The sequence below is a fragment of the Homo sapiens genome, chromosome 12 (assembly GCF_000001405.40).
Source record: "Homo sapiens chromosome 12, GRCh38.p14 Primary Assembly".
NCBI lineage: Eukaryota > Metazoa > Chordata > Mammalia > Primates > Hominidae > Homo > Homo sapiens.
Genome location: NC_000012.12, coordinates 89,397,831 through 89,424,936, shown reverse-complemented (window position 1 = coordinate 89,424,936; position 27,106 = coordinate 89,397,831). Strand labels below are relative to the sequence as shown.

General features: G+C 41.1%; 2 protein-coding genes and 1 long non-coding RNA gene across 14 annotated transcripts in view; 2 read left to right on the top strand and 1 right to left on the bottom strand.

Moving 5' to 3' along the window:
* Positions 1-23,470, top strand: part of POC1B (POC1 centriolar protein B) — a 124,581-nt gene extending 101,111 nt beyond the window's left edge. For 4 of the 7 annotated variants that reach the window (NR_037659.2, NR_037660.2, NM_172240.3 and 1 more), the window contains one exon: positions 3,680-5,219. Coding sequence is in view for 5 of the 7 variants with exons in the window: in NM_172240.3 (NP_758440.1) it covers positions 3,680-3,784 (105 nt within the window). In the remaining 2 variants the exon portion in view is untranslated. Of the gene's footprint in view, positions 1-3,679; positions 5,220-20,591; positions 20,663-23,328 lie in introns of those variants that run through there. The other 3 variants (NM_001425773.1, NM_001425772.1, NM_001425771.1) reach the window with 2 other exon arrangements.
* The window catches only part of POC1B-DUSP6 (POC1B-DUSP6 readthrough), a 177,983-nt gene that overhangs the window by 101,111 nt on the left and 49,766 nt on the right, over positions 1-27,106 (top strand). The window lies entirely within an intron of this gene.
* On the bottom strand, positions 151-26,737 carry LOC124902981 (uncharacterized). Its single transcript, XR_007063401.1, has 2 exons — positions 26,212-26,737; positions 151-231 (listed from the first exon to the last, which is right to left on the bottom strand). It is a non-coding gene; the product is annotated as an uncharacterized LOC124902981 (long non-coding RNA).

Sequence of the window (27,106 nt, the reverse complement as noted above, 5' to 3'; positions counted from 1 at the left end):
ATTTGTAAGAAAATATTTAGAGCCATAAGAAAAATGTATTGGGAGTAACCATTTCTGGTTAGTATGAAATATTGCTAATGTTTATAGTTTTTTACTTTGAAAATGTTCTCACTGTCCAGTATTTAACTTCTCTTATCCCAAAGCCTCTTACCTTGATGCAGTGATCTTCCAGGCATGATGGTTTTGCATTCCCATGTTAGAATATTATCCACTTTTTTGAGGCCAGTTTACCTTTGCAAAGAAAAATACAATGCATCTTAAATAATATACCAAAATTCTTGGTTACAAGGTACAGACATAATTTAAGGGAAGTGGTATGTTGAAATGCATACACCAAAGGTTTCTCTTCCAACTCTGTTGATTCATTGTTCCCTTTGAATAAGTCTTCTCTTCTTCCTCTTTGATGTGTAGAATGAGAATACTAAATACTAATATTTGTCAGAGTGGACAGTAGCAAGTTATATAAAAAGATGGTAAAATATGAACTACAGAGATGTCAATTGCTTGTCCAGAAAAATATTTCAAATAGAAATAGCTTTTGCATAGAAATCACCCAACTGGTTCTCAACCCTGACTGTACATTATAATCATTAGAGCAGCTAAAAAATGTACATATACCTGGTTTTCACCTCCAGAGAGTCCATTTCCATTGGTCTGGGATAAGCCCCTAGCATCAGTCTTTTAAGAACCCACATATGATTCTGTTTTACAGCCAGTGTTGAAAACCACTAATTTAAGTGAATATTTTTATCCTGTAGTTATCACCTCAGGGCCTTTGGAGGCATCTGACAGATTGTGAGAAAGAGCCATGTGAGAACTTGGAGTCATCATATGATTTGCTCAATGAAAATCATATTAAAAATCACTCACTTTCATTTTGTAATGTTGTACTAGACGTGACTTTCTCTATATTTATCAGACATCTCTTTTCCTTAAAGGCCATTGCCCTCTTCCCTTCATGTCAAATTTAGTTGTAGTTGGTTTGTTTCCCATATTGCCATAACTTCCTCACCTCAACTGTTACCTTTCAACATTGAGTTCTCATTAGGGTCCCTCCGAAGTGAATCCTTCCATTCCCTGTTCTTTCAGTTTCATGACCTATTTCTCCTCCTTTTTACCAGATTCAAAGCTAAATAAATCACTTTAAGCTGTACTGAATTTCTCTATGATTTTTAATTTTTAGGGGATGGATTCATTTTACATATTAAAAAGGTTAGAAGCAGGCACAACACACTTGCAAAAGGGGAGCAGTGAATCTGTGGGCAAGCAGCAAGTAAAATAAATGTGTTCTGATTTACTTTAATTACAGATGACTTAACATCACCTAACTAAGTTGGACGGTGTTTATCGTTACTGAACTATAATTAGAAATAAATTTAAATGAAATTATGTTTTAGATGGTAGACAGATGGAGTTAACCAGTGTTAAAGGTGTTAATAATAAATGTATAAATAACTTCTAGCATTTGGAACTGTGATAATGTATAAAAGTGTCTGAAGGGCTGGGCACAATGGCTCACACCTATAATCCCAGCACTTTGGGCAGCCGAGGCAGAAGGATTGCTTGAGCCCAGGAGTTCAAGACCAACCTGGGCAATATAGTGAGACCCCATTTCTTCTTTTATTCTTTATTATTTAGAGACAGTGTCTCGCTATGTTGCCTAGGCTCGTCTAAAACTCCTGGGCTCAAGCGATTCGCCCAGCTCGGCCTCCCAAAATGCTAAGACCTCATTTCTACAACAACAACAACAGCAACAACAAGTTAATTAGCCGAGCAGGGTGGCACGCACCTATGGTCACAGCTACCCAGGAGACCGAGGTGGGAAGATCACTTGAGCCCACGAGGCAGAGGTTGCAGGGAGCTAAGATCAAGCCATTACACTCCAGCCTGGGTGACAGACTAAGACCCTGTCTCAAAAAAAAGTGTGTAATAAAATGCTTGGCACATAGTAGGCACTCAGTAAATGGTAGACTGTATTAACAGCATCACCATTATTTTTCATTAGTAATGATCTATAGATAATATAAAATATGAAGGCAAAAGCTATTAAATAATATCTTTAAAAATTGGTTGCATTCAAAAGATGATAGGGATTCCATTTTTTTATCTTAAAACTGGTTGACTAAAATACCAAGCAAGTGTCATGCCTTTCCTGTATGAACTCTACCATTAGGTAACCAAATAGTAGATGAGGAAAATGTCTCTTACTTATTAGTTATCCCAACTAACAGAATGTTTTAATAATAGAATTAGAATATCATCATTTGCAAACTCCAGGAATTAATAGATATAGACATTGAGTCACTATGACATTCATGAGAAATGACCAAACATTATTAATCTGCCTTCTAATCAGAGAATAGGCCACCACCTGTAGTCTTTCCAAGGCATGTAACCTGATCAAGCCTTTGGATCCAATAGCCAACTTAGAGAATGTACAGAAGATGGAAGAACAGGCTGAGCTGCACCCTGAGTGTGCAGTTTCTGAGCTTGACAGATGGCCTGAGCTTATCAACAGAGAAATTGTAAAGAAAAGAGAGGGAGAGGGTGGGTACCTGTAGATTAAGAGAGACTTTAAGTGACACATTAATTCTTGACATGCGAAAGAAAATTTTAATGTCTAGGGATGTACATCTGAGAAATAAAACCATAAAGAAACACAAGAAAGCAATCATTGTAAAGGTCAGGATAGTGGCTGTTACAGAGGGCGGGCAAGGAAGTCGTGGTAGGCACGTGGAAGGCTCCTCTGGGGTGGCTGGCAGAGTCTAGTTCTTGCTATGGGTGATGGTTTTGAGGATGTATTTCTTATAAGAATCCATTAAATAACACATGTACCTTGTGTGGGTTCCTGAATAATCTATGTTTCATTTTATAATAAGTTTTTTTAAAAAAAAAAGATACAAAAGAATGAAGGCAGAGTAGCCAGTATCACAAAAATTAGATATCCCAAGTTTAACATATATATAAAACATATGTTAACATTTAATATATATATGTATATGTGTTTGTATATGTATTCTGGATGTGTTCTAACTCCTTCAGCTAATAAGTGAGTACAGGATTATTCAAACCGTGTGTGTCCAACACTAGCGTAAGCATTTTACATGCATTATTTTATTCAATCCTCCTAACAACTCCACGAGGTAATATTAGCATCTTCTGTGTGAGGGAACTGGAGGCGATTGTTAGGATATTTTCAAAGCAATCTAGCCATCCATCTGCAGTGCTATAGGTACGGTTTGCCATGGATTGGATTGTGACAGAATGAGTAGTGATGACATTTCAGTGGCATCTGGCTGGCATGTGGAATTTCGCACCCCCTCCCCTTCTCCACTAAGTGTGTAGCTTATGGCACCACTTAGAACGCTGTGTGGCCTCTTCCCTGGTTTTGGTGCTTTAGAAGATCAGGCATAAGAGGTCTGATCTTCCACTGCTTTTTTTCTCAAACACATCAGTTTGGGTTTTTTCTTTTTCTTTTCTTTTCTCCAACTGCTTGATAATGCCTTGCCCTATGGTTGGGCCCAGAAGCACAGCAAGTTCTGGGGCTCATTTTTGAGCCAACTTCTTGGTAGAAGGGTGGGCATCCCAGTTCTTAAAAGGATTTCCTATGCAGAGATTGTCATTGTCATCCTCACCACCAGAGGACCAGGCATTGATTATTTTATCCTCCTTTTTGCAGACTGTTTCAATCTTGGAGCAGCGACTGACTTTGACAGAGGATAAGCTGAAAGACTGCCTTGAAAATCAGCAAAAGCTTTTCAGTGCTGTCCAACAGAAAAGCTGAATAAAAAATTCATTTTCATTTGTTGGGCAGAGGCCCAATAAATGAACAAATGTACATACACTCAGGAAGGTAGTACAAGATACTCCATACAACACAACCATGTGCTATTTATCATGGCATTTCTTAAAAGGGTGAGCAACAGAACAAAAGGCAGAAAAGGCATACCTAAGGACTAATTTAAACACATATCAATGTGAAGGACTAATTTAAATTACTATCATTTATGATTGCAGTAATAAAGTGATAAGCATTCAAGCAACTCTGTATTTTCCCCATATTATTTTAAATGTCCATTTTCATTTATAGGCCAAATCCTGCCAGGAAAGTAACCAGATCTCTGGATTTCACTGTTAAGTCATTTCAGATTGACCATATTCAGACAGTCATGGGGTGAAATAATTCACTTACCTCCAAAATAGCATCCTATATGCCAATAATGAGTTATTGATCTGACTAGTTGTATGTCTTTCTGTTCAAAATAGAAATTATCCTTTCTTACTAATGCCTTGAAAGAATGAACAAATAAAAATTCCCAGACCACAGAATTTCCACAGCAAGAATACACTTATTTTAATTAACAATAGCACAGATATAGCATAGGGCAGTGGGTTTTTTAGTTAATTTATGGCGTACTTTGTTTATCCATTGGCCAACCTGAAGGAAATGAAACTCACCTATCTTTCTATCACAGATGAATGTGCTAGATGAATGATTTGGGTTGTATCTGATCATGGTTCACAAAAATTATGTTAGTGTGTTTTCAGTATGCTAAAAAGTCAGAGTGATACAAAAGTGATATTTAAAAATATACACACATGTATGTACACATGCTTCAGAAATATTGTTGCTTAGGGTGATTTGGGCAGCTAAATAGTAAGTACTTTTTAAAATTTTTGCATCATCATCTTCCTATTTAATGAATTGTGATTTAAAACAAAATGAAAATAAGCCAGGTATTCTAAAAGATCCTGGATACAAATTAAGAATTTTGCTTTATTTTAAACCAAATTGAGATTAAATTGAAGAAAAGCAAGCAAATTAATTTCAGCTTGATTATCAACCTGTATCAAGAACAAAAATGGGAGGAGGTGTCCACATTTATGGTGTGTATAGGTAACATGGGGAAAATGCTATTCTGTGTTTTGGAAAAGAAGAAATAGTGCCGTCCTATTTATTTCTATATTTAGAAATTTTTCTCAAAGAAATTTCAATTGTATCTATGAGATGGGTTTCTAAGTATCTTATTGTGTGTTATAAGTGCCTTTTAATATCATACTAAGTGTGAGCTTCTGGACATTTTCAAGAGCTTACAAAAACTAAGTGGCATTGTATTTTTATAACCCCATTGAGAAGACTAAGTAAGAAATGAAATGTCCTATCAATTTTATTTTGTCATGCTTCAAACAATAAAGACATTTCTGCTTTAAAAGAAAAAGTTGTTCCTTTTCTTTTTAAATGATTAAAACCCGGAAGTACTAAACATCTTATCATCCAGCTCACTCAGTCTTTAATGTGTGTGCGAATCTTCTGGAGAGCTTGTCAAAACAGTTTCCTGGGCCCTATCTCCAGAGCTGACTCCATGGGTCAGGTGGGGCCCAATCATTTGCATCTCTAACAATCTCATAGGTGATGCTGATGCTTTTGGCCTGAGGTCCACACTTTAGGAACCACCTGTAGCCACTTCTTAGAACCTGATGTTGCCACATAGTTTTTACAGTCATCACAGAACTTTATAAGTGATACAAAAATAGTGATGATATAAATGCAGATGCCTTGAAACTTTTTCAACAGACTCAATTTTTCTAACTTCCCTCTTTATTTATTTATTTATTTTTAGCATTTGAGGAATCTCCTTCATCTTCATCAGATTCCAGCCCATCCCTTTCCTAACTTGAATATCCAGCTGCCTGATCAGCGTCTCCACTTGGAACTCTAACAGGCATCTCTAGATAGGTCCAAAACCAATTTTTCTGCCCTCTACCTCTAACTCTGCACCCCAGCCAGCATCACTAGCAGCTTCTTTCCTGGACTTGCATGTGTCAATAAAATGACAGCTTTCCTTCCTGTTGCTCAAGCTGAAGACGTGGAATCCTCTTTGATTCTTCTTCACACCCCACAGTTCATTCCTTCAGGACATTTTGTCAGAATGTAGAAAACACCTGACCACTTCTTACCACCTTCATTTCCCACCATGATCCAAGCCACTAATCTCTTGGCTGGAAGACTACAGTTGCCTCCTATCTTATTCCCTTTGTGTTGCTATAGAGGAATACCTGAGGCTGGATAATTTATAAAGAAAAGAGGTGTATTTGGCTCATAGTTCTGCACACTGCACAAGAAGCATAGTGCAGATGCTTCTAGTGAGGGCTTCAAGCTGCTTTCACTCATGGTGGAAAGTGAAGGAGAGCCAGCAGCACATGGTGACAGAGGAGGAAGGAAAGGGGAGAGTGGTGCCAAGTTCTTTTTAACAGTCAGTTCTCACAGGGACTAAGACTGAGAACTCACTCTCTACTTCGAGGAGGGCACCAAGCCATTCATGAGGGATCCACCCCCATGACCCAAACAACTCCCCTTAAGCCCCATCTCCAACAGTAGGGATCAGATTTCAACATGAGACTTGGTGGGGCCAAACAACCATATCCAAACCATAGCACCTCCTGACTGGTCTCCCTGATGTCACCCTTGCACAGCGGGCCACAGTGGTTCTTGAAAAGCCTGAGTCAAAGCACGTGGCTCTTCAGCACAGAACACTTCAGGGCTTCCCATTCCAGAGTAAAAGGCCAAGACGCAACTTCTCCTCTTTAAACTTCCCTTTCCTTCTCCTTGAATAATCCTCACTCACCACCCTCTGGCCATAGCGGCCTCTTTGCAACCCTTTGAAGAAGCAAAGTGTTCCCTCCTGAGGGCATCTGTACATTTCCTCTGCCTAGAACTTTCTGCCCTCAGGCATCAATGCCTTAAAACATTCAACCTTTGCTCACCTGGTACCTGTTCAGAAGTGCCCTCCCTGACTGCCCAAGTGACCCTCCATTCACTCCCTGACCCTTTGCCAGGCTTCATTTTCTCCAGTGCACTTATTACCATCTGACACATACATCAGTTCACACATGTCTTCCCCTGGTAAGCAACTCCGCATTGATGGATCTTACAGCTGAGAACGGTTTCCAGTTTGTAGTAGGCACACAGCGTATATTGTGTGAATATAGGATAACAATAAGTTGCAGATTTTTTTCCTCCACCCCTGAAGCAGCTTCTCAGCTATGATTAATTCCTGAGCAGAATGCCTCAGCAGCCCATTTCAAGAAACTAAATTTGATGTGAGTGGCTGAGCAGGAGTGAGTCCTCAGGATATCTGTGATAGGGGAAAAACACCAAAGGAGCCATATTAATCTTCAGCCACATCATCTGATACTATCACTTCCTTCTTAGTGAGTATGGCTCAACCAAATAGAATATAATAGGATTTCTCTATATCTGTCTTCCTAGCTGCTACAGATAGGATTATTTTCTTGCACATAAATATTTCTCTTGGACTTATACAAGTTGTTATAGTAGATGTTAAAGGTTTTACAGACTTTTTTAAAAAAGATAACTTCTCATTTGCTTGATGTATCTATTAAGCAGAGGCACATTAAATTTTTTTAAAGTTTATTTGAGCAACAGTGACTCACGAATCAGACATTGCCAAACTGCAAGCCGTTTGGGCTCCCCTGAAGGGAGTGCAAGGGGAAAACTTTTATAAGGTGTTTGAGGAAGCAAGACAGAAAATATTTGGATTGGTTAAAGTGGAACAGCAGCCTTAAAGTCTCTAGGTGGAGATTAGTTGGTGGGTTCTGATTTGTTAAATATGGTCTTCCTAGGATATGACCACTTACTCTGAGTTAGGTTTCAGTTTGCTTACATAGGATCTCTGGGCGCTAGAGCTGCCTCAGTGTAATGGGCTCCCAATTAATTATTTTAACAAAACAAAGGTTAGTTTGTATCTCATTTACAAATAGATTATTTCTTATTTTAATCTTGAAGATTAGTTTATTTAAATAGTACAGAAGAAAATAGGAAGTTCAATTAGTGAACTTTAGTGGAATATGTGAAAATAATTTCAGGGAAGATTTTGTTTATTCAATAATTATGGAATATACTTAAAAACTACTATGTGGAAAGAAGGTAAGTTGATAGGCTTTACCTTTCTAACAATATGTGATTATTTAGTTGATAGGACCTCTGGGTCCTTTACTAAGGCTTTGGAATTTTAATACAAACTTGTGCTACTCATTGCTTCCAGAGACAGAGCAAGCCACTTGCCTGTGGGATGAACACAAATCCAGCTGCTGAGCTGTTTTGCTTGGCTCATAGTTTTTAAAAAATAATTTTTATTTACCTACTGACATTTAAAAGTTGGAAATTTTATATTAACTAAATTAGGTCTCTGGCTTGTCTTAAGAAATCAGAAGATCTGCAACTATTGGGCCTGTATTCCTCCATGGCAGCAATGAACTAGGGCAGGGTGAAGCAGACATACACTACTCCATATTGTCTCCATCCCCCTCCACTGCTAAACATTACCTGTCTGGCCTCTGCCTAGTTAACACTGTAGATATCCAAGTCTTTCACATAGTGTTCTAAAACTGCCACCATCTGTCCTCAATCCTTACCTTTTCGAGGTTATTTTCCGAGCATGCCTCCTTTTCTACATTCTTTATCCCTTCCCCCACAATCATGCATCTTTTCCTCAGCCCTGCTGAACTTTTCACCATTATGGGATGAAGCACCTCTCCCTTCCCAATTCCACTTATATTGAGCATGCTTTTTCCCTGTCACCCTACATAACTCTTCTCTTCCTGGAAAACCCCTATTCATCCTTTAAAAGGCAGCTTGCGTATCCCTTCATTCTTTTTCTGTTGTGCTTCCTCAGCATTCTGTGCTTATCTCTGGTACAACAGAGATTGCAATACAGTTGCAGCTCTGCCTCTTCCACTATGACTTAACCTACCCAAAAGGCAGGCGTTGTCATCTTTAGATTCTCCACCTAGTGCGTTGTCTGGCTCATAGGAGGAGCTCAACAATTCGTTCTTGAATAAATGAGTATTTTTTATTTTCATTTATTGAAGTGTTTCTTTCTAAAACATTGCTCTATGCTTCACTTAAAGCCAAAAGCAGTTAAAACTAGGGCGGGTGGGCTGGAAGAAATAGGATAGGCAAACATTTAGACACTCGATATTTGGGGCTAAGTGGGCACTGCTATAACCTGCCAGTTGTTAGATAGCTCAGCAGTTACGTAGACAGTCTTATAAGCCAGAAAAACTTGATGCAAATTCTGGCTATGCCATTTTCTAACAGTGCGACTGTCAGGGAAGGTATTCACAAAGCTTAGTTTCCTTAACCATAAAAGGTGAAAATAATAACGTGAACTGCATTTGTGAAATGATTAGCACAGTAGCTGTCACGGAGTAAGTGATCAATAAATGGTAGCTATTGTTGTTATTATTTTCTTTATTATTTTTTTTTTTTTTGAGACGGAGTCTCGCTGTGTCGCCCAGGCTGGAGTGCAGTGGCGCGATCTCGGCTCAGTGCAAGCTCCGCCTCCCGGGTTCACGCCATTCTCCTGCCTCAGCCTCCCGAGTAGCTGGGACTACAGGCACCCGCTACCACGCCCGGCTAATTTTTTGTATATTTAGTAGAGACGGGGTTTCACCATGTTGGCCAGGATGGTCTTGATCTCTTGACCTCGTGATCCACCCGCCTCGGCCTCCCAAAGTGCTGGGATTACAGGCGTGAGCCACCGCACCCGGCTATTATTGTTATTAATAAATCATTTTGTTTCTCTGGACTCCATTTCCAAAAAGTATGATTTCAACTGTAACTACTGAAATCAGATACAGGGACTGTTACTAAGTGGTAGTGAATAAATGTGTGATATTTAATTCAAAGCGAATGTTGCATTTTTAAAAATTTAACAAAAAGAATGATTATATAAAAGAAATTAGCCTTTCATACATAGAAAACCTCAAAGTTCTGGCCAAATGCTGGCAATTGAGCAACTCCTGAGGAATTCAGCCTTAGAAGACTAATGTCATAATTATCCTAAATAAAAGTGAGGCAAAAACCAGAAGTGGGGGAAGGGCTTGGAATGTGAATCAAGTAAATGTCATTAAGAAAAAGGCTTGCCTGGAACTCAAACTATTTTTGCCCTTTGACCATTTGGAGAACAGGTATTATCTGCTTACTGCCTTTTCTCTAAAGACAAGATAGTACGGACCCTCACTTAACATTTCATTTATATGTAGAGCAAACTTGGAGGCTGTTAGTCCCATGAATTCTATGCATCTAAGAGGATTGGAAGATAAACTATCTGTTCCTGGGTAGAAATAGTTGGCTGCTGAGACAAAAAAAACAGTTATTCTAATATTTGAGGGTTATTGACAAATCTGATCAATCTATGAGCAAATTTAATAATAAAAACAGGTGGGTCTCTAGTAGATTTTTAAGTGAAATTATATAATTGATATGCTTCATTTTCCTTGATGGCTTATACAACTCTTTGCCTTAGCAAGTCACGAGGTTTTAGACTTCATGCACCAGAGGATTTATGAATGTACAGTGAATCTAGGAACACAATGTAATTGCCAGGTTGTCCTCCATAAGCCCCAACTGTGACTCAGTCAGGTAACACAATTGCAGCCTGAGCTTACTAGGAAAATAGGTCAATGGCTTGCCAAGAGGCAGAGGTTAATGGGAAGCATGGGTGGCAGGGGTATGTGCACAACTACTTTTTTCTTTGCAAGGTACATTAGTTGCATTTTCTTCGGAGTCAAATCTCAAACGTGTTCCTACTAAAAATAAACATTTGATTTGAGATTCTTCTCATTATAAAATAGATTTACAACAAAAGCAATAGGAGAAATAACGATCACCTAAAAATTCTAAACTTATAAAACAAAAAATACATGAATAGAAAAAATTGGCTGGGCATGGTGGCTCACACCTGTAAGCTCAGCACTTTGGGAGGCCGAGGTGGGCGGATCACTTGAGGTCAGGAGTTCAAGACCAGCATGGCCAACATGGTGAAACCCCATCTCTACTAAAAATACAAAAAATTAGCCGGGCATGATGATGGGCGCCTGTAATCCCAGCTACCTGGGAGGCTCAGGCAGGAGAATTGTTTGAGCCTGGGAGGCGGAGGTTGCAGTGAGCCAAGATGGTGCCACTGCACACCAGCCTGGGCGACAAAGCAAGACTCCATCTGAAAAGAAAAAATAAATAAATAAATAAATAAATAAACAAATAAATAATTGGCAGAAATGCAACACAAAATTGGGAATATCAACATTTCAAAAGTAGAATTTAGTTCACACAATACAAAGGTAATAAGGCAGACTTAACATATATGTAAAAAACTGCATGGAAGTAAAAAAAAATTCACTTTTTTGGCCAAGGGTATCTTAAACAAAGCTTGGTCATATTCTGAACCACACAATGTAAGGGTTAGTCAAAACTCTATATGCCAAATATGCAGAAAGTATATCATAAAAATGGAAATAACTAAAAATGCTCAATCACACAGAAAATATGAAAAAGAAAACTTAAACTTCACTGAACAACGTCTGTGTGAGAAAGGAAACCCCAACATGTAGTAAAGAGTATTTTAGAATAAAAACAGGCTGGGCATAGTAGCTCACATCTATTATCCCAGCATTTTGGGAGGCTGAGATGGGAGGATCACTTAAGGCCAGGAGTTGGAGGCCAGCCTGGGCAGCATAGTGAGACTCCATCTCCACAAAATTTTAAAAATTAATTGGGTGCATTCCTATAGTCTTAGCTACTTGGGAGGCCGAGGCAGGGGGATTGCTTGAGCCCAGGAGTTCGAGTCTGCAGAGAGCTATTATTGCACCAGTGCACTCCAGCCTGGGTGACATAGTGAGACCCTGTTTCTAAATTTTAAAAAAGGAAGAAAAAAGGCAAGGCATGGTGGCTCCCACCTGTAATCCCAGCACTTTGGGAGGCTGGGGCAGGTGGGTCACGTGAGATAAGGAATTTGAGAACAGCCTGGCCAACATGGCGAAACCAGGTCTCTACTAAAAGTACAAAAATTAGCTGGGAATAGTGGCGGGTGCCTGTAATGCCAGCTACTGGGGAGGCTGAGGCAGGAAAATTTCTTGAATCCAGGAGGCGGAGGCTGCAGTGAGCCGATATCATGCTACTTGCACTCCAGCCTGGGTGACGAGAGTGAGTGAGACAAAGAAGGGAGGGAGGAAGGGAGGGAAGGAGGAAGTAAGGAAGGGAGGAAGGAAGGGAGGGAGGAAGGAAAGGAAGGAAGGAAGGAAGGAAGGAAGGAAGGAAGGAAGGAACATGTGTTTCTCTCCCTCTGATGGTTTCATGAACTCGAAACCAAGACATGGCAGGATGAGAGAGCATCTATGGATTTTTAAGTATTTATTTCAGAATGCTTTTAATACATTAAAAACTTTTTTTTTTTTTTGAGACGGAGTCTTACTCTGTCGCCCAGGCTGGAGTGCATTGGTGCGATCTCGGCTCACTGCAACTTCCACCTCCCGGGTTCAAGCGGATTCTTCTGCCTCAGCCTCCCGAATTGCTGGGATTACAGGCACCCACCATGCCCTGCTAATTTTTGTGTTTTTAGTAGAGACGAGGTTTTATCATGTTGGCCAGGCTGGTCTCAAACTCCTCACCTCAAGTGATCCACCTGACTTGGCCTCCCAAAGTGCTGGGATTACAGGTGTGAGCCACTGCGCCTGGCCTACATTAAAAACTTTTGAAAACTACAAAAAAAAAAAAAAGAAAAAAGAAACAAAGAAAAAGAAAAAATAATGCCAGCACGGATCACTTTGAGATGAGACACCCTTACTTAAGAAACGACTACTGTTTACCCAAGATACTTCTGTGGCCAGGAGAAAGAAGAATAAGAAAGCTCAGCAGGGCAAGGATTTGTGAAGCTCGATGCCAGATACGGAGGGGGAACAGTCCAAGGTTGTGGACAAGGACTTCTTGCTGAGATTTGCATCTCTTAATTCTGATGAAACACTATCACTACCTTAGGTTGTTTCCCCTGCTTAATCCCCAGAGGAAATCCCTTTGCTTTTCAGAGATAAAAAGTTAGCAGAACAAAGACGAAGTCAGGGGAAGTGCCTGGGCCTTTTGCTATAGAATTCCACTGAAGCCTTTCCAAGCCTAGAGGATAGAACCCGAGGTCTATACTATTTATTTCCACACCTGGATTGAATATCAAGGTCTGTGAGAAGATAAATCATTTAGAAACCTGATGTTCTTGCAAGGGGGTGTTGCTTTTTCAGAACACTAATAACAACTGTGTCAAAGGCAAAAATCACATGAAAAGTTCAAAGTTGTTAAATCCCCCTTCTTCACCGCTTTCAGCAAGTGAGAGTTGGAGAGTCTCACAACTGGTGATGTTGATCATTCCTTCTCTGAAAAGGAGAGATTAAAGATGCAACATTGAGGCGGGAGGAAAAGAATCAACTGCTTGAGGTGGCAGTTCTTACTCACGAGAACATCTAAGACTTTCATTATTTTCACCTTAAACTGAGTGATTAAGGCAAAAGACACAGGACTTGATTTTGAATCATATGTGATCCTGAAAAATACATTTGAAAGGACTTGAGGCCTAGGAGGGTCCTAATTTAGTAGCTTCCAATCCAGTACAAACTTATTCAAGAGAGCACATCAAAGCTCAGCCCATTCCCAAGGGCATTTCATTTTTGGAATCAGCAATGGGAAGTAATTATAATGTGCATATAAAACAACCAGAGATGATAAAATTCTAGGCAGCGTGATGCCTCCGGCTTTGTTCTTTTTGCTTAGGATTGTCTTGGCTATATGGGTTTTTTTTGGTTCCATATGAAATTTAAAATAGTTTTTTCTAATTCTGTGAAGAAAGCCAATGGTAGCTTGATGGGAATAGCATTGAATCTATAAATTACTTTAGGCAGTATGGCCATTGTCACGATATTAATTCTTCCTATCCATAAGCATAGAATGTTTCTCCATTTGTTTATGTCCTCCCTTATTTCCTTGAGCAGTGGTTTGTTGTTCTCCTTGAAGAGGTCCTTCACATCCCTTGTAAGTTGTATTCCTAGGTATTCAATTATCTTTATAGCAATTGTGAATGGGAGTTTGCTCATGATTTGGCTCTCTGTGTGTCTATTATTGGTGTATAGGAATGCTTGTGATTTTTGCACATTGATTTCATATCCTGAGACTTTGCTAAAGTTGCCTATCAGCTTAAGGACATTTTGGGCTGAGACAGTGGGGTTTTCTAAATATACAATCATGTCATCTGCAAACAGAGATAATTTGGCTTCTTCTTTTCCTATTTGAATAGCTTTATTTCCTTCTCTTGACTGATTGCCTTGGCCAGAACTTCCAATACTATGTTGAATAGGAGTGGTGAGAGAGGGATCCTTGTCTTGTGCCAGTTTTCTTTTTCCTTTTTTTTTTTTTTGAGACGGAGTCTCACTCTGTTGCCCAGGCTGGAGTGCAGTGGCGGATCTCGGCTCACTGCAAGCTCCGCCTCTCAGGTTCACGCCATTCTCCTGCCTCAGCCTCCCGAGTAGCTGGGGCTACAGGCGCCCGCCACCATGCCCGGCTAATGTTTTGTATTTTTAGTAGAGATGGGGTTTCACCGTGTTAGCCAGGATGGTCTCGATCTCCTGACCTCGTTGATCTGCCTGCCTTGGCCTCCCAAAGTGCTGGGATTACAGGTGTGAGCCACCGCGCCCGACCTTGTGCCGGTTTTCAAAGGGAATGCTTCCAGCTTTTGCCCGTTTGGTATGATATTGGCTGTGGGTTTGTCATAAATATCTCTTATTATTTTGAGAGACGTTCCGTCAATACCTAGTTTATTGAGTGTTTTTAGCATGAAGGGATGTTGAATTTTATCAAAGGCTTTTTCTGCATCTATTGAGATAACCATGTGGTTTTTGTCACTGGTTCTGTTTATGTGATGGATTACATTTATTGATTTGAATATGTTGAGCCAGCCTTGCATCCCAGGGATGAAGCAGACCTGATCGTAGTAGATAGGCTTTTTGATGTGCTGCTGGATTCAGTTTGCCAGTATTTTATTGAGGATTTTCACATCGATGTTCATCAGGGATATTGGCCTGAAATTTTCTTTTTTTGTTGTGTCTCTGCCAGGTTTTGGTATTAGGATGATGCTGGCCTCATAAAATGAGATAGGGAGGAGTCCCTTTTTTTCTATTGTTTGGAATAGTTTCAGAAGGAGTGGTACCAGATCCTCTTTGTACCTCAGGTGGAATTCAGCTGTGAATCTGTCTGCTCCTTGGCTTTTCTTGGTTGGTAGGCTATTAATTAGTGCCTCAATTTCAGAACTTGTTGTTGGTCCATTCAGGTATTCGACTTCTTCATGGTTTAATCTTGGGAGGGTGTATGTGTCCGGGAATTTATCCATTTCTTCTAGATTTTCTAGTTTATTTGCACAGAGGTGTTTATAGTATTCTCTAATGGTAGTTTGTGTTTCTGTCGGATCAGTGGTGAGCTCCCCTTTATCATTTTTTATTGTGTCTATTTGATTCTTCTCTCTTTTCTTCTTTATTAGTCTGGCTAGCGGTCTATCTATTTTATATGATACAAGGCTACAGTAACCAAAACAGCATGGTACTGGTACCAAAACAGATATATAGACCAATGGAACAGAACAGAGCCCTCAGAAATAACACCACGCATCTACAACCATCTGATCTTTGATAAACCTGACAAAAACAAGTAATGGGGAAAGGATTCCCTGTTTAGTAAATGGTGTTGGGAAAACTGGCTAACCATATACAGAAAACTGAAACTGGACCCCTTCCTTACATCTTATACAAAAATTAACTCAAGATGGATTAAAGATTTAAACGTAAGACCTAAAACCATTAAAAACCGTAGAAGAAAACCTAGGCAATACCATTCAGGACATAGGCATGGGCAAAGACTTCATGACTGAAACACCAAAAGCAATTGCAACAAAAGTCAAAATGTGACAAATAGGGTCTAATTAAACTAAAGAGCTTCTGCACAGCAAAAGGAACTACCATCAGAGTGAACAGGCAACCTACAGAATGGGAGAAAGTTTTTGCAATCTACCCATCTGACAAAGGGCTAATATTCAGAATCTGTAAGGAACTTAAACAAATTTTCAAGAAAAAAACAAACCCTTCAAAAAGTGGGCAAAGGATATGAACAGACACTTTTCAAAAGAAGACATTTATGCAGCCAACAAGCATATGAAAAAAAGCTCATCATCACTGGTCATTAGAGAAATGCAAATCAAAACCGCAATAAGATACCATCTCACACCAGTTAGAATGGCGATCATTAAAAAGTCAGGAAACAGGCCAGGCGCGGTGGCTCACGCCTGTAATCCCAGCACTCTGGGAGGCTGAGGCAGGCAGATTACGAGGTCAGGAGATCGAGACCATCCTGGATAACATGGTGAAACCCCGTCTCTACTAAAAAATACAAAAAATTAGCCGGGCGTGGTGGCAGGCGCCTGTAGTCCCCAGCTACTTGGGAGGCTGAGGCGGGAGAATGGCGTGAACCCAGGAGGTGTAGCTTGCAGTGAGCCGAGATCGCACCACTGCACTCCAGCCTGGGTGACAGAGCGAGACTCCGTCTCAAAAAAAAAAAAAAAAACCAGAAGTCAGGAAACAACACATGCTGGAGCAGTTGTGGAGAAATAGGAACGCTTTTACACTGTCGGTGGGAGTGTAAATTAGTTCAGCCATTGTGGAAGACACTGTGGCGATTCCTCAAGGAACTAGAACTAGAAATACCATTTGGCCCAGCCATCCCATTACTGGGTATATACCCACAGGATTATAATTCATTCTACTATAAAGACACATGTACACATATGTTTATTGCAGCACTATTCACAATAGCAAAGACTTGGAACCAACCCAAATGCCCATCAATGTTAGACTGGCTAAAGAAAATGTGGCACATATACACCATGGAATACTATGCAGCCCTAAAAAAGGATGAGTTCATGTCTTTGGAGGGACATGGATGAAGCTGGAAACCATCATTCTCAGCAAACTAACACAGGGAACAGAAAACCAAACACCGCATGTTCTCACTCATAAGTGGGAGTTGAACAGTGAGAACATATGGGCACAGGGAGAGGAACATCATACACTGGGGCCTGTCAGGGAGTGGGAGGCTAGGGGAGGGATAGCATTAGCGGAAATACCTAATGTAGATGATGGGTTGATAGGTACAGCAAACCACCATGTTACATGTATACCTATGTGACAAACCTGCACGTTCTGCACATGTATCCCAGAACTTAAAGTATAATAATAATAATAAATCCTAGGCTATGTTTATTCACTATTAGTGCAATCATTTGGTGTTTTAGCCTCATTGTAACAATTAAGTTGCTGCATAGTCAAAATGTCTTATAAGCAGTTCTTCTTAACCCCTTTATATGCATCCTTGCTCCAGTGTTGATCAAGTTGGCTCCTGGGTTAGCTGAAGTTACAAACTGACAACCAATAGACATGTTTTGTTTGGCCCCTGCAGTGATTTGTTTTGGTTTTCAAATTAGGTGCCAATATTTAAATATCAATATCAAGTGAATGGCTGGGCTTGGTGGCTGATGCCTGTTATCCCAGTACTTTGGGAGGCTGAGGCCCATGGATCACTCGAGGTTAGGAGTTTGAGACCAGCCTGGCCAACATGGTGAAACCCCCGTCTCTACTAAAAATACAAAAAAAAATTAGCTGGGCATGGTGTCAGGCACCTATAATCCCAGCTACTTGGGAGGCTGAGGCAGAAGAATCGCTTGAACCCGGGAGGCGGAGGCTGCAGTGAGCCAAGATGGTGCCACTGTACTCCAGCCTGGGCAATAGAATGAGACTCCATCCGCCCACCCTCCGACACACACCCCCCAAAAAAAGAAAAAAGAAAAATCAATATCAAGTGAAAATCTAGATTTCTGGTTTCCTTTTTTTTTTTTTTTTTTTTTTTGAGACGGAGTCTCGCTCTGTCACCCAGGCTGGAGTTCAGTGGCATGATCTCTGCTCACTGCAACCTCCACCTCCCAGGTTCAAGCAATTCTCCCTGCCTCAGCTTCTTGAGTAGCTGGGACCACAGGAGCCCTCCATCACGCCCGGCTAATTTTTGTATTTTTTAGTAGAGACGGGGGTTTCGGCATGTTGGCCAGGCTGGTCTTGAACTCCTGACCGCAGGTGATCCTATCGTCTCCACCTCCCAAAGTGCTGGGATTACAGGTGTGAGCCACTGTGCCCGGCCTAGATTTCTGGTTTCTGTTGAAAAATTGGAAGACCTGGTATTATCTTATATATCACATATTATATATTATATTATTACGTATCGGGCATGTAGTTTCCCATGGCGATAACCTCCAGTTTTACCTTTTCTGCTTGTCTTCATGGCCCTAACCTGCTTTGTTGAACCAGTATCTGAACAGTGTGACTTGTGTGTCTCAAAGGCACAGCTCTCATGCTCTTGCAGACCCGGGAATAGGAGACCTAAGAAAACATACTTATTTATTTTGAGGAAATGGAGATACAGTGATGGATTCGTGCCAGAACGCAGACAACAAGCACCATCTCTTTATTCTCAAGCCAGTCCTCTTGCCACTGCTCTATGCTGCCTCCTTTAGTTTAAGTTTTATTTCAAAATGGAAAACATCTTTCCAAAACCATAGAGCCTTAAGTTAATCATATATCAAGTGGAAAAGAAGAAAGAAAAGATCACACTCTATGTGCAATATGATTAGAACAGTATTCAAATGGTGTATCGAGAAGTCTTTGAATAGCAGCATTAGGGAATGTTTTCCTTCTATTTTCCAAACTTTCTCTAAAAAGTATGTATTAACTTTTGTAATAAAATGAAACTCTATTTTTAAAGATTCTAAACACACTGAAACAGACACTTTGCCTAGTCATGACAATCCTATTTCCCTTTGCCAGACACTCACTTCCCTGCCTCCTTTGCAACTCAGCTTGGCCATGTGTCTCTGTCTTCTCTAATGAGATGTGGGGGGAAGTCTGCTGGTGCCTCAGGATTTCCAGGACTTTCAGTCTTGAACATAGTTATACAAAAATGCCAAGCAGAATTCTAACCTCCAGTGAAGAAAACAACAACCAAAAAAAAAAAAAAAACACTCAAAACTTGCACTTTTTTTTTTTTAAGGGATAGGATCTCACTCTTTCACCCAGGTGGGAGTGCAGTGGCACAGTCATATTTCACTACACCCTCAAATTCTTGGGCTCAGTCAAGGATTCCTCCCATCTCAGCCTCCCAAGTATCTGGGACTACTGATGCGTGACACCACACCTGGCTAATTTTAAACATTTTTGTAGAGACAGGGTCTCACCATGCTGCCCATGCTGGTCTCAAACTCCTGGACTCAAGCCATCCTCCCATCTCGACCTCCCATAGTGCAGGATTACAGGTGTGAGCCACCGCCCCGGCCCTGCACTCATTTTTAGATACCTCATTAAATAATATCCTTATGGCTTAAACAACTATTTTTTTTTATTACTTGCAGCCAAAAACTAGCTACACAAAAGAATATTTACTTTTTTTCAGATATTAAATTTAAATGTATTATCTGGAGTTTAGGATTACAGGCATACGCCACCATGCCCGGCTAATTTTTGTATTTTTAGTAGAGACAGATTTTCACCACGTTGGCCAGGCTGGTCTTGAACTCCTGGCCTCAGGTGATCCACCCACCTCTGCCTCCCAAAGTACTGGGATTACAGGCATGAGCCACCACACCTGGCCAGGATTTTATTGTACTTCTTTTCCCACTACTACCTGAGTAACTTGAAATGAGAGCCCATATTTGTTATTATCTCATCCAATGAAGAAGGCTAGTCAGGAGATCAATAGGGGACTATATCATATTTTCATATTTCCTTCAAGAGAATTTCCTTCCATCAACCATGTTAGTTCATTTTTTTTAACCATGTTAGTTCATTTTTTACAAGTTTGGTTCTGACAATCCTTGCGTTCCATGGGGTAGATCAGGTAGAAAAATGTTTGATCATTCAAAACATGGAAAGGTATCCATTTGATGGTAAACATTTTATGTTTGTTATCATAAAGGTGTTCTACATATGCTGGAGGAGGCAGAGCACAGTGCTCACCATGGGTTGCCACTGATCTACTTCATTGGTGATGCCGAATACTAGGGGTGAGGAGGTAGGAGTCAGAAACTTAGAGGGGGCGGTGGGAGAGAGTAGGAGGTAGACAAGTTGAAGAAGTGGTTTGAAAGTTTGGAGATCTTTACCTGGAGAAGAGAACACTTAGAGAAGGTAAGAACTATTAGTTAGTTTCTTGTGGGTTCCTGGATTAGGGACTCATCTGGTTTATTTTAGGTAATTCAGGAATTTTTAGAAGGATATATGTGAAAATACAGGCAAGACTCTCGATTGTGGCAACCCAGGAAGAGCTGACAGTCAAGTTAGTTGGAAGGAAGAGTCATGTTGTAGCTGGGTCTAACTGAGCCTAGAGCTGAGATCTAGTGCAGGAAATCATTCAAAATTATTGATAGAACCTATTGAAATTATAGGTAAGCTGGTTATTATACTGTACCTCCAGCCACAGGACTCCTATTCTAGTGCTCCATCATTAACATTAACATGACTTGGCTATTTTTCATTTTGTGTCTCTGCTTTGTTAATGTTACTGTCTAATTGACCTTTTCCCATGTTTCCAGACAAAAGTGCTGAGAGAAAGAATCTCATTGATGAACTGTCCTTAGTAAGACAAACACTTGTGCTGGGTTTCCTCATAGGTCACACATGAGCCCATAAATGGACCAGGATGGTGGAAACACACAGAACATGGCCACTTAGGTATAAGGAAGTAAGTTGCATCCCTCAGCTTGGAATGGTGGACACAGCAGACCCACCTACTCAGCCATCAGAAGCCTCTGTAGGAAACAGCTGCTGACCTAGGTATTTGAAAGGCTGCCATATTGAAACTCTGGACTTTTTTTTTTTTTTTTAAGATGGAGTTTCATTCTTGTTGTCCAGGTTGGAATACAATGGCGCGATCTCAGCTTATCGCAACCTCCACCTCCCAAGTTCAAGCAATTCTTCTACCTCAGCCTCCCGAGTAGCTGGGATTACAGGCATGCGCCACCACGCCTGGCTAATTTTGTATTTTTAGTAGAGACAGGGTTTCCCCATGTTGGTCAGGCAGGTCTCGAACTGCAGACCTCAGGTGATCCTCCCGCCTGGGCCTCCCAAAGTGCTGGGATTAGAGGTGTGGGCCACTGCGCCCGGCCAACATTTTTTATTTTACTCCAGAAGGCAAAGGGAGGATAGAGACAACTAATGAAGACTTTCAAACAATGAGTACTATCTGAAAGCAAAACGGGCCTCCTTTAGAGATAGAGTGTAGCTCGTTCCTGGAAATGTTTTAAGGGATGATAGATGGCTTCATGGCCGGGAAATGGTAGCTTAGAATGGAGATTAGAACATTTAGATCATCTGCTGATGATTTACATCTGCCAAAATGGGACATGTAGAAGTAATTCTAGGACCAGAGGAGTCTCAAAAGTCTAAGATGGCCTTGAGGAATTTTGAGCCTCAAAAAACTCTCAGAAATATCAGGCTCTGACTCTTCTCTGAGGCAGATATTTAACCAGAGGTAGGCTTTAAGGGGTCACTCATACCACAAAGTGACCATAAAAAATTTCAAACTCAGTTTACCTTGAGGGTTGATTTCAGAGAGTACCAAGCACTGGACGTTGAAGAGATTTCTCAGCTCTCATCACAGTTTCAAATTGAGGCATTGAAAACCTCAAGTTAAAAATGTACGTGTGTCAGGGCTGGGCGTGGTGGCTCACGCCTATAATCCCATCACTTTGGGAGGCCAAGGCGAGCAGACACTTGAAGTCAGGAGTTAGAACCCAGCCTGGCCAACATGGTGAAACCCTATCTCTACTAAAAATACAAAAATTAGCTGGGTGTGGTGGCGGGCGTCTGTAATGCCAGCTACTTGGGAGGCTGAGGCAGGAGGATTGCTTGAACCTGGGAGGTGGAGGTTGCAGTGAGCCGAGATGGAGACACTGCATTCCAGCCTGGGTGACAGAGTAAGACTCCATCTCAAAAAAAAAAAAATGTGTTTGTGTCGGCCAGGTGAAGATGCCTCACGCCTATAATCCCAGCACTGTGCGAGGCAGAGGCAGAAGTTCCAGACCAGCCTGGCCAACATGGTGAAACATTTTTAGTCTCTACTAAAAATACAAAAATTAGCCAGGTATTTGGGAGGAGGCTGAGGCTTGAGAATTGCTTGAACCTGGGAGGCGAAGGTTGCAGTGAGCCAAGATTGTGCCACTGTGCTCTAGCCTGGGTGAAAGAGCGAGACCTTGTCTCAAAAAAAAGAAAGTATGTATGTCCATAGAATACTATGCAACCATAAAAAAGAATGAGATCACGTCTTTTGCTGGAACATGGATGAAACTGGAGGCCATTATTCTCAGCAAACTAATGCAGGAACAGAAAACCAAATACCGCATGTTCTGACTTGTAAGTTGGAGCTAAATGATAAGAACTTATGAACACAAAGAAGGAAACAACCAACACTGGGGTCTACTAGAGAGTGGAGGGTGGGAGGAGGGAGAGGAGCAGAAAAGATAACTATTGGGTACTGGGCTTAATACCTGGGTAACAAAATCTGTCCAACAACCCCCCGTACATAGGTTTACCTATGTAACAAACATTCACATGTACCCCTGAACCTAAAAAAAAATTTTTAAAGGGGTGTGTGTGTGTGTGTGTGTGTGTGTGTGTGTATTTGTGATAACACATCTTGTCATATAGGAATTAATTAAATGAATTAGGCAGTAATCTAATCACAGGGCTGAAGACTTCAAGAAGGACAATAGCAGAATAGCTGTGGGGAATAACTCATTACACTAACTTTCAGTAAGTTTGGAATCTTTTCCTCTGGGGCAATGTTTTAAGGGACGGGAAGGAAGGGAGAAACAAAAAAGAGAAGGAAGAAGAGAGATAACACTTAACTGGACACCTGCTGTGGAACAGGCACCGGCCACTTCCAAGGCTTCCTACAGTGAGCAGCTCTGAGCACTAGAATCTCTCATCTCCTTGGGGTGATAAATGAATGATGGCCCACTTTCCACACTAGTGGTAGTCACATGAAAGCACTGTACTTTGACATTAACTATTTCTCAGGAAAAAAGAGAAAGTTTGACTCGTATTGTTCGTTGTTTGCATTAGGTCAACCTAATGCTCCAACATTAACCTAGAACTGTAGTTTTCTTGATTACAGCATGGCTGACCCATGCAAAGTTGCTTACAAATACTTGAATTCACTAATGCTATTTGCAAATTACTGCAAGTGTCATAATGACACATTGTTCAGTTCTTAGGACTTTGTGAGGACCCATCTTGAGAAGGATTTGACTTCAAAAGATTGAGATTAAGGCTTAAAGAAAATAACCTTTGGAATTCAACCTCCAGTGAGGGAACTGGCAAGCAATCTTTGTTCAATATTTTTTTCAGAAGTGTCCTGAATGTAGGTGAACAGTAACCAGTGTGCTCCAGAGCCAGGCTCACAGGAAATCTGGGTGAGTCTAAAGAAGAAGAAAAAGAAAAATCTAATCGTGGGAAAGCATGGGAATAAAAAAAAAAATGAAAAAGGCAACTCAATACACTGTTTTTTTTTTCCTTTTTTTTTTTTTTTTTTTGAGATGGAGCCTTGTTCTGTCACCCAGGCTGGAGTGCAGTGGCATGATCTCGGCTCACTGCAACGTCTGCCTCCCGGATTCAAGCAGTTGTCCTACCTCAGCCTCCAGAGTAGCTGGGACTACAGGTGCGTGCCACCACGCCCAGCTATTTTTTGTGTTTTTAGTAGAGATGGGGTTTCACCGTTAGCCAGATGATCTCGATCTCCTGACCTCGTGATCCGCCCACCTCGGCCTCCCAAAGTGTTGGGATTACAGGCGTGAGCCACCTCGCCCTGCCAATACACTGGTATTCTTATCATTTCCTCAGTGCCCTGTCTTGTGCCTCTGGCCCTGCCCTGCTTATTCCACCTCAGGAAAGGACTATACTCAGAGGGCGCCTTCCTTGCCCCAGGACAGGTAAACAGGGTAAAGAATGGTGCAATGCCCTGCTGGCTTCCATTCCACATTGTGGAGGATGTTCAGGTGGAGGACATGCTGATTTCCTCCTCAACATCTGTTGTGTAGCCGCCATGTGTGAATGGGACCCTAGAAGCCATTAGGATGAGCCCAGATGGGTCCAAGCCAACACAACAATCCTATTTTCCTTGATCCAGTAATTGAATCAGGGGTAGTACAACCAGAGTGGACAAAATGCAAATCCATTCTTTCCCTCACTATGAAGGGAGAAGCCTTAGATCCAGTTGCATGCTGCTCACGGCATCTTGAAATTTCACGAGGGAAGTCACTCTGAGGATAAAGCTGACACACACACAAGAAGGCAGAGATGTGAGATGTGAGAACAACAGATGACTTGAGCCAGGTGACTGAGTCATGCCTGAGCCTGATTACCTTTAGGTGTTTCCCATCGGCATCCTAAGCGGTTCACGCAGCTTTCTGGAGGAAGTAAACCTGGAGAACACAAGAGTCCCTGGATATTATGTGACAGGTGTTAAGGTGGGCTGGGGGAGTGTTCCCACGCCAAAAATGTTTGCAAAGTATGGAATCAAGCAAAATGAAGTAGGCTACTTTAGAGCCATTTATAAAACCTAATACATATTACCCATTTCCAGGAAGGAACTACAGAGTGAAGCATTATGCAGACGTATTTAACCCAAGAATCAGATGGGTTGTCTGCTTCTGTATTCATTTGTTTTCTGGGAACACATCCGTGTTGAGGAGCACAGTTTGGGAATCTACACTAAGTTATTATCAGGTATTTACACCTTCATGTGTGAAATAGCAAGACAGAAAAGATGGTGGGCGCAGGACTTGAAATGTGAGAGAAAAACAAGGACAGGAAACAGAATTTCCTCCTTCCCAGGCCCAACCCAGAGCTCCTGGAACTGGGAGCAGTTGATTCAAGGTTGGTTTGCCATGCTGGCTATGTACCACAATAATCCCTGGAGCTTCTGGGAGCTCACCCAGATTCGAATTCAGCAAGTCTGTAGGATCCCAGATGAATGATATACATATGCATAGGTAAGATATAAATAAATAGGCCAGACATGGTGGGTCATTTTTATAATCCTAGAGCTTTGGGAGGCTGAAGCAGGAGAATCACTTGAGGCCAGGAGTTTATGACCAGCCTAGGCAGCACAGTGAGACCCTATCTCTTAAAAAAATTTGTTTTTAATTAGCCAGGTGTGGGGGAACGCACCTGTAGTCCCAGCTACTTGGGAGGTTGAGACAGGAGGATTGCTTGAGCTCAGGAGTTCAAGGCTACAGTGAGCTATGATCGCAGCACTGCACTCCAGCCTGGGTTACAGAGCAAGATTCTGTCTCAAAAAATAATTATTTGTTTATATCTTATAATATGTATGTGTATGTCTATCTATAGATATACTGTATTTGCAATTTGTTTTATGGAGATAGCATATTCATTTTAATAGTAATGGTAAATAAGTAACCTAATGACAATTGCTTCATGATGCACTTCAACAGTTCTTATTTTAACTTTTTTATTTTGAAAAAAATTTCAAATTTACAGAAAAGATGAAGTAATAACACAAGGAATTGCCATACACCTTTTACCCAGGTTCCCCAGTTGTTAACATTTTGCTGCTTTATCATTAGCTATCTGTCTTACCTATTTTCTGAAACAATTGAAAATTGGAGACATGATACTCCAGTTCCACTAGGAATGTCAGTGTGAATTTCCTAAAAGACAAGGCCAAAGGCCAGGCACGGTGACTTACGCCTGTAATCCCAGCACTTTTGGAGGCCGAGGCGGGCAGATCACGAGGTCAGGAGATCGAGACCATCCTGGCTAACACGGTGAAACCCCGTCTCTACTAAAAATATAAAAAATAAATAAATTAGCCAGGTGTGGTGGCAGACACCTGTAGTTCCAGCTACTCGGGAGGCTGAGGCAGGAGAATGGTGTGAACCTGGGAGGCGGAGCTTGCAGTGAGCCGAGATCGGGCCACTGCACTCCAGCCTGGGTGGCAGAGCAAGACTCCGTCAAAAAAAAAAAAGACAAAAGACAAGGCCATTCTCCTACACAGCCACAGTTGTCAAGAGCAGCAAGTTGGCATTTCCACAGTATCACCATTTAGTACACCATCTCAGTCATCCCATTCTAATTAACCTATTGTTCCAATATGTATGGACATTTTTTTTCCTCCTATTTTTGAATCCAACCCATGATCATGCGATTCATTTACTTTTGATGTTTCTTCAGTCTTCTTCAACCTAGAATAATTCTTCTATCTTTTCTTACCTTTCATGATCTCAATATTTTTGAAGATTTCATGCCAGTTATTTTGCAGGCTTCTCAGTTTGGGTTTGTGTAATTGTTTCCTTATGGTTGGCCAGAGATATCACAGATACCACCTTATGGTGCTGTGTTCCTCTCAGAGCGTCATATCAGAAGACACATAATGTCAATTTGTCCCGTTATTTGTGATGTTCACTTTGATCTCTGGTCAGAGTCAGGCAGGTATATTTAAAACAAACTTGAGGTTAAACACCACCATTTGGAGTATGACGGTTTCTTTGCTCCATCTCTGCATGAGAAGATGAAAAGAAGACAGGTGAAAAGAAAAGTGAAAGACAGTATATAACTGAGGGCAACGAGTTTTCTCAGTTTAATGATTTCCTTGATTATGAACAGGAAGAAAATATTTTTTTCTCTCTTCTAACAGAAAAGGGTGTGCTAATGACAGACACATTCAGGAAGTATCAAGTTTGCTATTACACAGATTATGAAACATGTTTATGCAGTATCAAACCAAAATATTACTCTAGGTCATGTTGCTTTTTTTTTTTTTTTTTTTTTGAGACGGAGTCTCACTCTGTCACCCAGGCTGGGGTGCAGTGGCATGATCTCAGCTCGCTGCAACCTCCACCTCCTGGGTTCAAGCGATTCTCCCGCCTCAGCCTCCCGAGTAGTTGGGACTACAGGTGCATGCCACCACGCCTAGCTAATTTTTGTATTTTTAGTAGAGATGGGGTTTCATCATGTTGGCCAGGATGGCCTCTATCTCTTGAACTCGTGATCCACCCACCTCAGCCTCCCAAAATGCTGGAATTACAGGCTTGAGCCACTGCGCCCGGCCAGGATTACCAATTTTAAACACATAGATGCATATTAATCGATAGAGATAAACATACAA